Here is a 14,925-nt window from a genome sequence, read left to right as displayed (position 1 = left end):
TGGAGGGCTGGTGGGGAATCCCTGAGGCCATGAGCTCCAGGACCTGTGACCCCCCAGCCCCCACCCCGAGTTCCTGCATGGCAGGGGGGTGGCACAGCCTGGGAGTGTCCTGGGGTTGCCAGGGGGGGTCTCTGGTGTCTCCAGCAGCCCGGGGTTCCCAGGAGTAGGGCTTCAGGCTCAGACACCCCTGGTCATGTGGTGACACTGGCTGAGTCCCCCAGGAGTCCCTCAAACATGACCGGAGATGGCAGAACCAGCGCCCACCTCACCCCTCAGGACACAAGTTGCCTCCACACACGTGGATGGCAAAGGGGCCGCGAGCCACGCCCGCCCAGGGCCGCAGCCCACCTGGTACTTGATGAGCATGTTGAAGAAGTCGTCCCCCGGCTCCTGGGGCTCGCCGTGGCCTCGGAGGTGCCCTGCATTGCTGTGGGTGATTCGCAGCCCCGGCAGGCTGCCCACGCTGGCCCGCTGGTCGTCCAGCCGGCGGCTCTGGGAGCTGGCGATGAGGTCGAAGAATTCCTCGGTCTGGGGCGAGGCCGTCATCGAGGGCTGGGCTGCGGGGGGCCAGAGGGTGAGACCTGGGACCCAGTGCGGGGTCAAGCCCGAGGCTCGGGCTGCGGCCACAGTGAGCTCTGACCTCTGAGCCCAGCCCAGCCCACTGTGCTGCTGGGGCCATGGCTCCTGGGGGAGTCTCCGCTGACCGGCCTAGGCAGCTCTCAGCTGCTCCCCCTGCTGTGGCTCCCACGCCCACCTCAGGGGCTTCCAGGGGGTGACAGGAGGAGACAGGAGGAGAACGCCAGTCCCCCACGCCCTGCCCCCTCCCTGAGACTGCCCCTGCAGCCTGAGTGTGTCCCGGAGGGCGGGCTGATGACACGCTTCCCGGGATGCTGCTCTGTGGGGGCTGCGGAGGGCGCCCTCAGTGACAGGGTGCTCTGCAGCTGGCCTGCTGGTCTGCCCCCGAAAACTCCTCACTGGAAGCAGGACGGGAGCCCTGGTCCTGGCCCCTGCAGACAAGCCCAAGGGAGGGCCCGGCTGAGGGGGGCACTCACCGATCCTGTCCTCCAGGGTGGGGGCGGCCGTGGCCTCGGCAGCCCCGGCCTGGCCATCGTCCAGGGGACAACGCTGGTCGTCCATGCGGCTGCTCTGGAACTTGGTCAACAGGTCAAAGAAGCACTCCTCGTCCGAAGACGGGGCCCTCGGGATGCTCTGGGGAGGGAGTGGGGTCACCGCAGCCAAAGCTAGCCCCGCAGACCCCCAGACGAGACCGGGGGCTGCTTGCCCAGGCCACACACACTTCTGAGACCCTGGCCAAGATCGGGACTCTAACCTGCCCCCTGTCGGCTACCCCTCCCCCAGAACGTGTCACCCACCCTCGGCACCCGGCTACCCCTCCCCCAGGACGTGTCACCCACCCTCGGCACCCGGCTACCCCTCCCCCAGGACGTGTCACCCACCCTCGGCACCCGGCTACCCCTCCCCCAGGACGTGTCACCCACCCTCGGCACCCGGCTACCCCTCCCCCAGGACGTGTCACCCACCCTCGGCACCCGGCTACCCCTCCCCCAGGACGTGTCACCCACCCTCGGCACCCGGCTACCCCTCCCCCAGGACGTGTCACCCACCCTCGGCACCCGGCTACCCCTCCCCCAGGACGTGTCACCCACCCTCGGCACCCGGCTACCCCTCCCCCAGGACGTGTCACCCACCCTCGGCACCCGGCTACCCCTCCCCCAGGACGTGTCACCCACCCTCAGCACCCGGCTACCCCTACCCCAGGACGTGTCACCACCCTCGGCACCCGGCTACCCCTCTCCCAGGATGTGTCATCCACCCTCGGCACCCGGCTACCCCTCCCCCAGGACGTGTCACTCACCCTCGGCACCCGCCGACTGCCCCGGACTTCTCCCCTCTCATGGGTGCTACCCCAGTCCAGGCCTCTGTCCGTCACCTGCCCTGGGCCAGCCTCCCCAGCCTTGGCCTGGAACACTTCCCAGACATCCCGGGAAGCCTCCCGTGCCTCCTGTCCCTGTGCCCACCACACCCTGTGTCAGCCCTGCCATGAGCTCCCTGTGTCCATGCCCTACACAGCCCTCACCGGTGTCTGCTGTGTGAATGAACTCGAAGGAATGAACCCCGCCCTGGGCCTCAGTCCACACACCCAAACAAGGGAGGCTGGAGGGCGTGGTCTCCTGTGGCCCCCCAAGGGGCCCAGCTGAAGCAGGTCCACCCCGTGACCCAGCCTCACAGGGCCTGGTCCGGGCCCCAGGGCTGAAGGGTGTTTGTGATGGTTCCAAGCCCCGTCCACCTCCCGACCGGCGCTGGCAGCCCCTGCCCGGCCCCAGCCTGTCCATCTCACGGCTGGTGGCCTCTTCCAGGTCTGCAAATGCTGGGCTCACAGCTGAACGAGTTAACAAGAGACGCAATGTTGGTGGAGATGGCACCTCCCGGGTCCCCGATGCTGCCTGGAATTCCCAATACCTGACCCCCACAGCCCAGGAGACGGACAGCTGTCTGACAGACAACTGGAATTCCCGACACCTGACCCCCACAGCCCAGGACTAGGGCTCCCGTCCTGCTTCCAGTTTTCTGCTGGACTCGGCCCAGGGCACAGGAGAGTGGGGCCTAGAGACATGTGTGACCTACCCAAGGTCATGCTGGAGCAAAAAAGAGCTGGGATTCAGACCCTTGAGCTGAGCCGAGGGCCCTGTGGACAGCCCTGTTTTAGGAGAGACCCCACCTGGCTCTGGCCCCTGGAGTCAGTCCCCAGCTGTCACGGAAGCCTGAGGTACCTCCTGTCCCTGAGGCAGACCTGAGGAGGGAGAGTTCTAGCACCCCCTTCTCCCCGCAGGGCTCTCCTCCTGCAGCCTGGCTCAGGCCTAAGGCAACACCCCCACTCCCCCGGATTCCCCAGCCAGGAGGGAGGGGAGAATTGGCCCAGTCTGTGGGGAGGGCCACATCCACTTGGGCCAGGGCTCTGGGAGCTGCAGGTCCAGGCAGAGGGTGGCACTGGGGTTGCCAGCCTGAGTGCCAGTTGGGGCCACACAGGTACCTCCCCAGGAGGATGTGGCCTCCTGGTCTAAAAGGAACTGGCTCCTGGGCTATGATGACCTAGGGCACAGCCGCGGGGGGCCTCTGCCTCTGGCCCAATCTGGACTCCCCCAGGTGACCCGGGGCCCAGGTGGACTGAGCAAGGTCCCTCCTGGGAAAGGCAGGACCCGTCAGGGGCCATGTCCCAGGCCCCATGGCAGAGCCCCTCTCAGGGTCCTATGTCGGGCAGCCCTCCCCTTCCCTGAGGCTGGGGCCAGCTGTTGAGGGGCTGATGCCTCCCTCACATGGGGGCAGGGGCCCACGACTGCAGGTGCAAAACCGTGGCTCAGTGCCTGGTACGGGGAAAGGCTCTGGATAGTTTGGGGCTCCTGGAGCCCCTCAGAAGCAGGACCCTGGGCCCCAAGGCCACCTTCCCCTGCATTTATGTCCCAGTAGAACATATCCAGTGGGACTCGGGGTTCCGCCTCCCTGCTCTAACCTCTCCCTTGCCCCAAGCCCTGGCTCCCTCCTTCCCGGAGGCCTCAGAGTCCCTCCTGCAGTCTGACTCTAGTCTCTCTTGCTTTGGCACAAGCCCAGTTTCTCCTGCGGAGGAGGGGAATGCACCCGGCCCAAGACCACCCCACCCGGCTTCACAGAGGCCCGTGTGCTCCCTCAGCCTCCACCTGTTAGGACCCCAGGGACCCCAGACTCACGCGGATCACAGGCTGTCTCCACAGCAGCAGGGAGCCACGCTGGGTGCTTGGCCACACAGAGCGCAGGCAGGACACAAGGTGCCCAGGGCCACCACCGCCCTGCCCAAAGTGCCAAGTGCTGCCTCAATGCTGGGATGCCTGAGGCTTAAATAGGACCCTGGGCAAGGGCTCGGCCCTCCTAGCGCCCGCCCCTGCTCACTTGAGTGCGTGCACACACACAGGCTCACACACACGCACGTGGGCTCGCACTCACACACAGGCGCACTCCGTAAACACTCCCCCAGCAAGTGCAGCAGTGAACCTCCCCCTCCCCGTGCCTGTGGGCGGGCACACTGGAGGGCTGTGTGGGCAGACAGCCTGCCGAAGAGCCCTTTTCCCGCTGACACCTGGGCCCCTGGGCCTCCCTCCAGAGCTGGGCCAGGTGGGGAAAGCCACCTCTTTATTCAGCCTGACTACGGAGGCAGGCGCAGAGGACCTGGGCGGGTTGCTGTCCTCATCTGGACTCCTCTGTCCGGGACGGCCCTTCCTGTCCCACAGCCCTCGGTGGCTCCCCAGTGCCCTGGCTCAAGGGCCTCCCGGCCAGCTCAACTCAAGCCTCTGGTTGCTGCCTCTCTGTCTCATTCCTGGTTGGACCTACACTGTCTCCAGCCTCTGAGGCCAACCCTGCCCTGTCCCCTACCCTCCACCCCAGAATGAGTTCTCTGGACCCCCAGACCACACCCAGCCACACCGCCTCAGATCCCAAAGCCCCGAATGTGCTGGCTGCAAGGCCCCTGCACTGTCTGGGCACAGGGTGGGGAGGGGCAGGGGCTGGTTGGTCACCAACAGCAACGGCGCAGCATCGGTGTCACCAACAGCAACGGCGCAGCATCGGTGTCACCAACAGCAACGGCGCAGCATCGGTGTCACCAACAGCAACGGCGCAGCATCGGTGTCACCAACAGCAACGGCGCAGCATCGGTGTCACCAACAGCAACGGCGCAGCATTGGTGTCACCAACAGCAACGGCGCAGCATTGGTGTCACCAACAGCAACGGCGCAGCATTGGTGTCACCAACAGCAACGGCGCAGTATTGGTGTCACCAACAGCAACGGCGCAGTATTGGTATCAGCTGCACTTTGCAGATGAGGACCCCAACTGAGAGCTGAAAGCCCTTCCCTGAGGACCCCAGCAGAGGGGGAAGGGGGCCCACCCGGCCACTGACGCCCCAGGGATGTATCCCCCACCCACCCTCGCTGCAGTCCCCATACAGGCTGCCACCAGGGTGCAGACGGTCCTTACTCGGAGGTACCCAAGGTTCTGACCTCGGTAAGGCCAGTGGGGTTCAGGTCAGCAGAAAGCCAAGAGGCCCTGCCACGTCCTCACAGACCCTGGGAACCCCGTTTGTCTGGGGCCAGGATCTTGGCTGTCCCAGGCGTCCTGCCCCGCGGTGGTTGCAGGGGCCAGGGGAGCAGGGCCCGCAGCAGGTGGGGGCTCCCTGGGGCCCTGGCCAAGGCCTCCAGAGTGCTGGGCCAGGCAGCTGGACACTTGGAACTGTGTCCCCTTGCCCTGCTGGCCCAGACCCAGGGCAGTTTGTTGGGGTGACGTGAAGCCTGGAAGCCCTCAGAGGCTGTGCTTTCTAGAAAGCCATCAGCCCCTGAGGCCGGCTGACTGGTCTGTCCCACACATGCTGCCAGCCTCCCACTCCTTCCTTGGCGGCCCAGATGTGATGGGCAGAGCCAGCTGTGGACAGGGCAGACCCAGCTGTGGACAGGGCAGGGCCAGCTGTGGACAGGGCAGGTGTCTGGGTCCCAGTCCTGCTCCTCCCTCCAGGCCCAGGGAGGCTGGGGGATCACCGGGACCCCCGGGAAGGCCTGACCAGGTGCTCCCTGGGTGCCCTTCCCTCCACACCTCTCCCATCAGTGGACGGATGGACCTAGCCCAGATGGTTGGGCAGTGCTGGGGCTGAATGAGGGGAAGGTAGGCTGTGCCCTGCTGGTGGGAAGGATGGGCTTGGGCAGCCTCGGGGGGCTGCGAATCCCAGCCCAGCACCCACACCCCTCTGCAGGTTGGTGCCCACGGAAGAACAATTTCAGACTATTTCTAGTGGTTTGGACCCAGCCGTCCTGCTCGGGGGAGCTCCAGGCTGACCTCCGAACCCGGACTCGGCCCATCGGTGCCCCTGAACACCAACCAGCTCTCCCGTGGCTGGGGTGGCCCTGGCACAGCTGACACCTGCCAGGCACAGGCCCGGCCTGTCACCTGTCCCCCCACCAACCCCGAGTCTGACCACCAGTCTGTCTGTCCCCCGTCCGTCCACCCATACACTTGGCAGTCACTGCAACTGCCCCACCCCTCCCGCCACCTCTGTGTGCCACAGCAACGCGGGGGGCTCCTGGCTAGCCCTGAGGACCCGGGTGGCGCCCAGGCTGCGCTGCTGCTGCTTGCTGGGCTGTGACCCTCTGCTCCACTCGTGACCTTGAGCCCAGGTGGGGTAGGGCAGGGTGGGGCCTCCCAGCCCCTGACCAGGAGGAACCCTGAGTGGACCTAGCCCCTTGCTGTCCCCTCACCAGGGGCTCTGCAGCCATGCACAGGCCACCCAGCTGCATCCCCTCCATGACCCCACTCACCATCGGTCCTGCCCCGGCCCCTGCACCCACAAGGAGAGGCCCCAGTACCTTGGCCCAGCTGGAGCTGCAGGTGCTTCCACACCAGGGCCTGACCATGGGTGTGGCTTAGGGGCTTCCCACCCACCCCTTGGGTGCCCCTCAGGCCCCTCTGCTCAGGGACCCCCGCCAGGTGTCAGAGATCCCAGGATTCCCCCAGGGACTGTGTTGGCCTCGTCCACCCCTCCAGGGCCCTGGTAGGATACACAGGCTTGACCTCACTGGCCAGAGCCTCCAAGAGCCACCTCAGGAAGGGGCACCCCATCAGGGGATCTGTGCAGCCCGGCTCTCACAGTGAAGGCAGCCAGTTCCTTTCAGGGACACGCTCCTGTGACTAGCGGATGGGTCTGGAGGGTCCCAACAAAGGAGGGTGGGGGCTGGAGTCAGAGAGAGAGGCCACCTGAAGGCTGGGAAGAGCCAGCCCCCAACTGGTGAACAAGATGGAAACTGAGGCCCAAAGAGAGGCGGGGCGTTCCATGCAGAAGAGCCCAGCCTAGAGTCCCCAGGAGGCTCCTCGGTGGCCGGGGCCTCTGAGGCCAGGTGCGACCACAATGCTAAACACTGAGCCCTGCCCAGAGCCCCCACCGGGGTCCCAGGACAGCACTGCACCAGGTGCACCGGGGAGGGACCCCTGCCTCCCCGGAGTGCCCGGGCCTGACCTGGCCCCGTTGGCTGGCAGTGGAGTTGGGGCGCAGTTGCCAAGCTCTCCTCCCTCTCGGCCTGGATCTGCCGTCAAAGACGCCTACCGTGCGTGGCACGTGCACCCGGACGTCGGCGCTGTCCAGCGGGGAGTGGCTGCCCTCCCGGGGCCTCCTCTCAGCGTCCGGGCCTTCCTGGTACTTCCTGCTCCTCACGGGGAGGGGTAGCGAGTCCCTGCTGGGCCCCCGCCAGTCCCCTGAATGGTGGCTGTCTCCATTCTGCTCCTGGGGAGGGGTAAGGCTGTGCGTGGCCTGGGCAATTGTGAACCAATGTCCCCATCCCAGGACCCTGAAGGGAAGGCCAGGCCGCCTCCATTTCATGGATGCACGCCGTAGGTGCCCAGTACCCAGAGAGGAGGAGAGGACTGGGGCTGTGGGCCCTTGGCTGGGGCCGGGAGAGGCAGGGTGGGGTGTTTGAGGGCCAGTGGCCCCCGCAAATGTCAGCCGGCTTATACCAGCAATGACAGTGACTGTGGGCGTCCTTGGGTCTCGTCCCCACAGCAGAACCCTGACGGCCATCCACAACTGAACACAGGCCACACCAGAGGAACCAGAGGCTCAGAGAGATCAGGCTGCTGGCCCAGGCCACACAGCACCCACTGCCGACAGGCACAGGGCCAGCCCAGGGCCCTACGCCAGGCAGCCCCCGAATCTGTCTGTGTGGGTCTGCTGAACCCCAGCCAGTGTCTGCACCTGCAGCAGCTGTGCCCACTTTGGGTCAGAGTCCGAGAGGGCAGGGAGCAGGCAGGAGTGGGTGCCCCTGTCTGTGGGCTCCCGAGGGTGTGGTGGCATAGCAGCTGGGTGGAGTATGGGGGCCTGAAATGTGTGAGGACCATGCCTCGCCTGGGGCACAGCTGGCCAGACGCTGAGGGACATGGGTGAGCAGGTGGCAGATGGGCCATGCAGGGCATCAGGCCGAGGAGGGCACATTTATCTCCCAGCAGACAGGGGCTGAGGTGGGTGGCGGTGGCTCTGCCTCATTAACCCCGCTGCCCATGCTCTGGCAGCGGCTGTGCTGACATCGGTCCCGTGTCCCTGGCTCACCCGCTCCAGGGGGAGTCTCAGCAGGTCCCAGGTCTCCGCGCTCAGCCTCTGCGTCCTCTTGGGTCTGGCCCCTGAAGACAGAGGGACCCGGTCAGCCCAGCACCACCCTGGCACCTCGCATTGGGTGGGCCAGGCCAGAGTCTCTGGGGGGCCAAGGACCAGCCCGGCCATGGCTTTCTGACAGCCAGCCCCCCTTGTGGAGGCGAGCGCCATGTCTGAGTGTCCTCTGCGTCTCCCCGACTGTACTGTCAGAGTCAAAGGGGACAGGTGTCGAGACAGAGCGCGTCCTGGCTGGGGCCAGGTGGGGTCTGGCTTTGGCTCCCTGTGCTGGAAGGGCCCGGCTCTGGACAGGCCTCTCCCCTGCCGCACACAGGGCCTCCCCCGTCAGTCCTGCTGTTCCCTCTGCCTGGATCACCCTTCCTGTGGCCCCTGGTCACCTCTGTGAGGCCACCCAATCCCCCCTCCTGAGGGTGCATCATGCTGTGCCCCGGAGGCAGGTGGGGCGGGCCTGTGGGTCCACTCCCAGCTCACTGCGGGCAGCCCAGGCCAGGGTCGGGGACGCAAAGGCCTCAGATGAATCCCCCAGACCAGCTCTGCCGTGGGACCTTCCCCGGGCTCCTGTCCATCCCTCCTGGCCCGGGGCTCACCCTACTGGCCGTGTCTCCACCCAAGGGACCCCCATCCCCTCTAGCCGCAGTGGGGTGGTGGGGCACAGCTGCCTGACCCAACACTGGCCAGCTGCAGACTCAGCGGAGCCACCAGTGCCTGTCCCGGGCCCCTGGGAAGCCCCACAGCCAGGCCCACCTTCAAGCCTCAGTCCCAACACGGCCCTGGCAGAGACGGGTGTCACTCAGCCCTGTCCCAACACAGCCCTGGCAGAGACGGGTGTCGCTCAGCCCTGCGGGGCCCGAAAGGATTTGGGAGTTTGGGAGAGTGGGCCCTACCTCAGCCCAGCCGCTCCCTGAGCACTCTCAGGAGCCTGTATCCAGGGCACGACAGACCTGGCAGATCAGAAATCAGTTGGCGAACGGAAAAAATGGGATGGAATCCGGGAAGTGGGGAATGTCCTCAACCAGGCAGGAAGCCCTGTGGGAAGGGCCCGATGCTGTGGCTGAGAGCCAGGGTCTGCGGGCGCTTCCCTGAGGAGGCGGCGGGACGGACAGGGGCACAGCCACTGTGGAAAGGGCAGCAGAACGTTCTAGGCAGAGGGGACGACGGCGGAACGAGGCTGACACTGAGGACCCTGTCTCTGCTGTCCCTACGCCTGGCACATCTCCAGGGAGACTCTCGCAGCTGGGAGGACCCTCATCCTCCTCCCTGCTCACCCACAGCTCCCACCCCCCTATGCCCACCCTTACCCAGTCTTCCTGGGAACCAAGCGTCCCTCCACCCGTGGACACACTGGACACGGGCTGTGCCCAGGAGCCCTGCGCACACCCAGTGTGAGTCCGAGGGCGGGGCCAGAACCAGCCCTGGCATCAGTGGGCACTCTGAGAATCCAGTCCTGGCACCTCCAGACCATCAGACTTGGCCCCATTACTACGCCTCGGAGCTCAGCGCCCTCCTCATCAGACTGCGCCGGCATGGATGGGCCGGGCCGGGCAGTTCCCCTCCGCACTCATCCCCCCGAGAGGCTCAGCTCCTAAAGTGAAGCTGCTTGGTGGCTGCCTGCATCAGGCAGATGTCGGGGGGCAGGCCCAGACACCCCCTTACCCTGTCCAGGCCCCACTGCATCAGGGAGCACAGCCACCAGGGTTGGGGCACTCGTCAAAGTTAGCAGCATGAATGGCCAGGCAGGGTGCCGGGGCCTCAGGTGCACCCGGACCCCACCGTTAGCCCTGGGTTCTGGGCCCTGCCGGGGAACACAACATCCACAGAGGGAGAGAGCCGGCTCAGGCGGGCAGTCACTCGGTCATTTCAGGCACTGGGCCCCACACACAGCCCCTCCCAGCCTCACCTGCACAGCTGTCACTCAGCCAACATCCCCCTGACCCCAGCCTCAGCAGGGCCCTGATTTAAATATGAGCCTGGCCCCGACCATGAGGGAGGGAGGAAATGGGCCCGAGTGTCAGGGTCTCTCAGGGTCTCCCTTACAGGCCCATGCTGCGGATGAGAACAGGCCTGGGTCTTGCTGGGGGGCTGCTGTCTGAGCATTGTGCCACCAAATGGAGTCCAAGCCTCCACCCCCAACTGGGAAGGGGGTCCTGCTGCCACCTAGTGAATGGCAGTGATGAGGATGCACTGGGGGCTTCAGACGGCTAAGAAGGCACCTGGTGGACAGCAAGGTGCTACCTATGGGGCAGAGGGGAGCCCCTGGATCGGCCTGGCTGCTAGCAGCCCCTTCCTGAGTCTGTCCATGTGACCCGTTTAAATGGTGAGCTCCTAAACGCAGCTGGGGGGAAGGGGACAGGAGCAGAGGGAGCTGAGGACTTGGGGGCCCAGGCTGGTCTTCCGCCTCCAGCCCGCTGGCCCCAGACCAGCCCACGGCGAATGCCTACAGCTTCATGAGAGCTGGGCAGGGACCGGGAACTGGCTGAGTGTGGGCTGTGCGCTTCCCTGGCCTGGCCTCTGGGCTCCGAGGACACACCCTAAGCTCCTGCTCTCCAGGGGCCTGGGATGGAAACCTGTGCGGCCAGAGGCACACGTGGGGCCCATCAGGGGCCTGAGCAGGACACTGGGACCTGGGGCCGTCCACTGCTCCTCCCACTCCCAACACAAACGCCCGGGGCAGGGCTCCCATCGCCACCCTGTGGCCACAGTGGTCAGCGGGATCAGGGTTAGCTCCGGCACATTCAGGATCCGGCCAGGCACTGAGGTGGAGCCGCCCCAGCCTCGGGTGGTGCAGCTTGAAGGGACAGAACGGGGCTGGGGTCGACGGCCTGTTCTCTGAAGGGCCACCAGCTGCCCACCCCCACCCAGATGAGCAAGGTAGCTCTGAGGACAGCTGCTGACCCCACACAGTTCGGGGCCTGCTCCCCACACCATGGAAATGACAGAGGAGCACGTCTGTGCTGGGGCGGGCCCTTCACTTACCACACCCAGCGAGAGCCCCGCTCCGTCTCCCGGTGTGCACTGCCTGAGGGCCTGGCTCTCCCTCTGCCGCCCCCAGTGCCATGGGGGCCTAAGTTGGTTTCCCCACCGCATCCTCCGGGTCCTGGGCCCGGCACAGCTGCTTCTGCCAGGCCTGGCCCTCCACCAGGACACCGCATGGATGGGCCCTGGCTGCAGCAGCGGCTGAAATGCTCTTCTGAGACACAGCCTGCGTCTGGCCCCAGGGCGGGCGCCCTCATGGCCAGGCACGGACGGTGGGCGGAAGGCCCGCTGCGCCTGGCTCAATGCACCCTCTGTCTGCAGAGTCGGCTGAGGCGTTGAGTGTGAGTCCAGCGCCCTTGGCTGAGCTGCCCAGACAGGCCCGGCCCACTGGCTTGGCTTCCTGTCTCTCCCGCCTGCGAGGGCAACGTTTGGAAACTTCTCCCAGCACCGCCCCATGGCCACCCGACGCTGACCGTCACACTGTCATCATCATTTCTGTCCTCACCCAGCTCCAGACGTTTATGTGCAATGGCCAACTCAAGCCCATCGAGCATCTTGGTGCCCCCTGTGCCTGCCGGACCCCTCAGGGCAGCACCCGCCCCGCCGGCTTGGCTCAGACCTCAGCAACCCCGATTTTCAGCTGCCCACGGTTCCTTCACGCCCACCTCTGGTCTGAAATCCAGTCTGTCCCCGCCTCACTGCAGATCCAGAGTCCCACCCCTCCTCACCTCCCTGGAGCCGGATCACCTGCCCCTCACCTGCCTGCTGCCCCAGCCTTGCCCCTAAGTCCCCTCTCCATGCAAGGACCATGGGGTTGGTAAGGGCTGGCCTAGGCCTTGCCCCTTCTCTGCTGGGTCCTGAGGGCCCCGCCCCATTGGGGAGGGGGTCTCACACAAGGGCCCACGAGGCCCTCCCTTCTTCGGCCAAGGCCCTCGCCTTGCTCCGTCAGCTCCAGACAGTCTCCCTGTCCCTTCACCTACCAGGCTGGCCCCTGCCTCAGGCCCTTTGCACAGGCTGTTATCTCTGCCCAGACTGCTGTTCCTCCGTCTAAGCTTGCGGCTCACTTCTCTCTGACTTCCAGTCTTTGCTGGAGCATCATGATCAAAGCCCTAACTCCCCATGGGATGGTGTTAGGAGGTCCTGAGGTTTACATGAGGTCATGAGAATGGAGCCCCATAATGACAAGTGGCCTTAAGAGAAGCCACCAGTGTTCTCAAGCTCCCCCTTCTTCCTCGCTGTCTCTGCTAGGTGAGGACACAACAAGAAAGCGCCGTCTGCCAGCCCGGAAGAGGCTCTCGCCAGCACCCGAGCACACAGCACCCAAACCCTGGCCTTCTGGCCTCCAGAGCCGTGAGGAGTAAACGTCTGCTGTTGCTGCCCCGGCCTGCGGTGCTTTGTGAGGGCAGTCGGAATGGACCATGATGGTCATCTCCCAAAGGTGCTGCAGCCTGCTTCCCCTGTTCCTGTCCGCGCCTCCCCTGCTCCTGTCTGCGCCCCACCCCGCTTCTGTCCGCGCCCCCACCCCGCTCCTGTCCGCGCCTCCCCCCGCTCCTGTCCGCGCCTCCCCCCGATCCTGTCCGCACCTCCCCCGTTCCTGTCCGCACCTCCCTGTTGGGCTTTTCTTTCTCCCAAAGCTCATCCCATGTGGCTCACTCCTGGGCTCCCCGTTCCTCACCTATCAGCTGCTGGACGCGGCTCAGCGGTCTTGGTGCCAGTGAGGGCCCCAGCAGTGCCTGGCACACGGCAGGAGCCTGGTGACCAAGCAGCAGGCATTTACTGTGTATCTGCTGCGTGCGGGACCCTGTGTGCCATTTCCCACACACTGTCCCCTCTGGGCCCTCTTAGGCGCACGGACAGAGGGTGCATCCTCCATCCCGGCGGCTGCCCAAGGGCCACTGGGCTGCTGGAACAGGCGGATGGTGCTGCAGCCACACCTGCCTCGTCCACCCAGGGCCCGAACGCAACAGGCTTACGGGCCCTCAGGCTCGCTGGCCTCTCACCCCTGCCAAGCTCTGTTCCCAGCACTACTGATGGGCCCGTTCCCCAGATGGGGACACTGAGGCACAAGTGGGTCAAGTCACTTGATCAGCTGGCCAGGGCTGGAGCCCACAGCCTAAACTGCAGGGGAGGTTATGCCATGCACATCCCTGACCCCAAGGCCACTCGTTGGGACGTTCAGGGGACTTCTCCCAGGAAGGCTGGTGGCATGCTCCCCCAGTAACTCTTGTGTACCGTGCTCACAACGCCCTGAGCAGGGCCCAGACGGTGGAGGGCTGAGAAGTACGGTCAGCAGGGCCGAGGGCAGTCGCACATCCTGTGGGACAGGCAGGGCCATCGGGGACAGGCCAAGGGCAGGGGGCGGTCCTGCAGGGCTCAGGGCCGGCTCCCTCCTCCCAACATGCCAATCATGCTGCCCGCACCAAGAGTGGCAGCAGAGCCTCCGTCCTGCCTGGCACCCTTGCTGGGGTGGGGGGTGGGCAGCCCAGGAGCAAGTGTGGGAGGCCCGGGCCTGTGCCCTCTGGCCAGGGAGGTGGGGGCTGGTTGCTGTCAGGGTCTCATAGAGGCCACACACCCAGAGGAGCTGGACAAGGGCAGTGGCTGGCAGGGTGGTGACCCCCAGACACACTTCTGGGGCTTCTCTGCTGGCTGGGGAGGGGCCAGCAGAGGGCGGTGAGATTAATACGCTGACTGAGCCGCGCCAAGGCTCTTTGTCCTCCAGCCGCACGTAAGTCTCCTTGTGTTTATCAACGGGACACCAAACCCACCAGCCTCTGCCACGCCCACCGCCCCCATGGACCACGCCCACAACAGCAAGGCCACGCCCCACCGCGTCCCCGCCGGGCTGAAGCCCCACCTCCAGACGACTTCCTCCTCCCTGCCCACACCCCGCTGGGCAGCGCCCTCCTGTGCCCCCAGCCCTGGCGCCCCCTCCGCACGGCCAGGCTCTAGCGCGGCTCTGCACCCCCCTCCCCTCCCGCAGCTCGCAGATCCACCCCGCCCTCCGCACCTGCCGAATGGGGAGGCTGCGTGGGTCCTTCCGTGGCGCCCCCAACCCGCAACGCCGGGTCCAGACTCCCGGCCTCAAGGCCCTGTCCCTGCCAGGCTCAGCTGAGCCGGGGTCTCACCCAGGGCCGCCCAGGCTCTAGGTGTGCAGCCTGCCTCCCACAGCGGCAGCCGGGCGGCGGCCCCAGCCAGGCTGCCGGGCTGCCCTGGGCGGGGAGGAGGACCCTTCCCCAGCCCTGGGGGAGGAGGCGTCCGGCCGGCTGGAAGGGGTCCCGCACTCGGGGCGGCACAGAGGAGCCAGAGAGGGACAGAAGCTGCATTGTTCCAGCGTCCTCCCACTCCGGCCCCCCTTTTCCTTGGCTCCAAGAAAGAAAACGTCGGGAGGACCCAGAGCCGCAGCCTCCGCGGAGCCTTTCCAGAGCTGCTCCCAGCCCTGCTGCCAGTTGCTGCTGGGGTCCCAGATGGTGGCAGTGCCGAGCCAGGGACACAGGAGGGTACTAGGGGTGCCGCAGGAGCTCTCGGCAGAGCTCCCCACCCTTAGGAAACCCCGGCCATGGGTAGAAATAGGCCTGGACATCCTGGGGGGCACATTCCAGCCCATCCCCTACCCACCCACTGCCATCGGTCACAGCACCTTGTCCCACGGACTCGCTGAGGGCCCCAGAGCCTCTGCTCCTTCCTCTGTCTTCAGCCTCTGCGGTGGCTGACATGCACCCCCAATTTCCCAGGAGAGGTCATCGTCAGAAACCCATGAGCAC

At 66.1% G+C, this 14,925-nt stretch overlaps 1 protein-coding gene across 3 annotated transcripts in view, besides 5 other annotated features; it reads right to left on the bottom strand.

Annotated features, from left to right (window-relative positions):
- Window positions 1-14,925, bottom strand: part of GPSM1 (G protein signaling modulator 1) — a 32,063-nt gene that overhangs the window by 2,703 nt on the left and 14,435 nt on the right. Inside the window, exons 10-13 of one of the 3 annotated variants that reach the window (NM_001145638.3) lie at window positions 8,132-8,202; window positions 7,136-7,312; window positions 1,053-1,209; window positions 349-557 (exon numbers count right to left, since the gene is read on the bottom strand). In NM_001145638.3, coding sequence (NP_001139110.2) covers window positions 349-557; window positions 1,053-1,209; window positions 7,136-7,312; window positions 8,132-8,202 — 614 coding nt within the window. Of the gene's footprint in view, window positions 1-348; window positions 558-1,052; window positions 1,210-1,876; window positions 2,118-3,743; window positions 3,864-7,135; window positions 7,313-8,131; window positions 8,203-14,925 lie in introns of those variants that run through there. The other 2 variants (NM_001145639.2, NM_001200003.2) reach the window with 2 other exon arrangements.
- Window positions 3,888-4,182: an enhancer, noted in NCBI's record as "tiled region #3186; HepG2 Activating DNase matched - State 8:EnhW". NCBI's record gives its function as "activates a minimal TATA promoter and a strong SV40 promoter by Sharpr-MPRA in HepG2 cells {active_cell/tissue: HepG2}" and the evidence as "EXISTENCE:reporter gene assay evidence [ECO:0000049][PMID:27701403]".
- Window positions 10,658-11,311: an enhancer, noted in NCBI's record as "H3K27ac-H3K4me1 hESC enhancer chr9:139240041-139240694 (GRCh37/hg19 assembly coordinates)". NCBI's record gives its function as "activates a minimal SCP1, AML or CMV promoter by ChIP-STARR-seq in naive H9 embryonic stem cells {active_cell/tissue: H9 hESC(naive)}" and the evidence as "EXISTENCE:reporter gene assay evidence [ECO:0000049][PMID:30033119]".
- Window positions 11,312-11,965: an enhancer, noted in NCBI's record as "H3K27ac-H3K4me1 hESC enhancer chr9:139239387-139240040 (GRCh37/hg19 assembly coordinates)". NCBI's record gives its function as "activates a minimal SCP1, AML or CMV promoter by ChIP-STARR-seq in naive H9 embryonic stem cells {active_cell/tissue: H9 hESC(naive)}" and the evidence as "EXISTENCE:reporter gene assay evidence [ECO:0000049][PMID:30033119]".
- Window positions 12,499-13,280: an enhancer, noted in NCBI's record as "H3K27ac-H3K4me1 hESC enhancer chr9:139238071-139238852 (GRCh37/hg19 assembly coordinates)". NCBI's record gives its function as "activates a minimal SCP1, AML or CMV promoter by ChIP-STARR-seq in primed H9 embryonic stem cells {active_cell/tissue: H9 hESC(primed)}" and the evidence as "EXISTENCE:reporter gene assay evidence [ECO:0000049][PMID:30033119]".
- Window positions 13,281-14,062: an enhancer, noted in NCBI's record as "H3K27ac-H3K4me1 hESC enhancer chr9:139237289-139238070 (GRCh37/hg19 assembly coordinates)". NCBI's record gives its function as "activates a minimal SCP1, AML or CMV promoter by ChIP-STARR-seq in naive H9 embryonic stem cells {active_cell/tissue: H9 hESC(naive)}" and the evidence as "EXISTENCE:reporter gene assay evidence [ECO:0000049][PMID:30033119]".

The sequence above is a fragment of the Homo sapiens genome, chromosome 9 (genome assembly GCF_000001405.40).
Source record: "Homo sapiens chromosome 9, GRCh38.p14 Primary Assembly".
In the NCBI taxonomy this organism is placed as follows: domain Eukaryota; kingdom Metazoa; phylum Chordata; class Mammalia; order Primates; family Hominidae; genus Homo; species Homo sapiens.
Note: the sequence above shows the minus strand (reverse complement) of the source record. Positions and strands in the feature narration are given on the sequence as shown.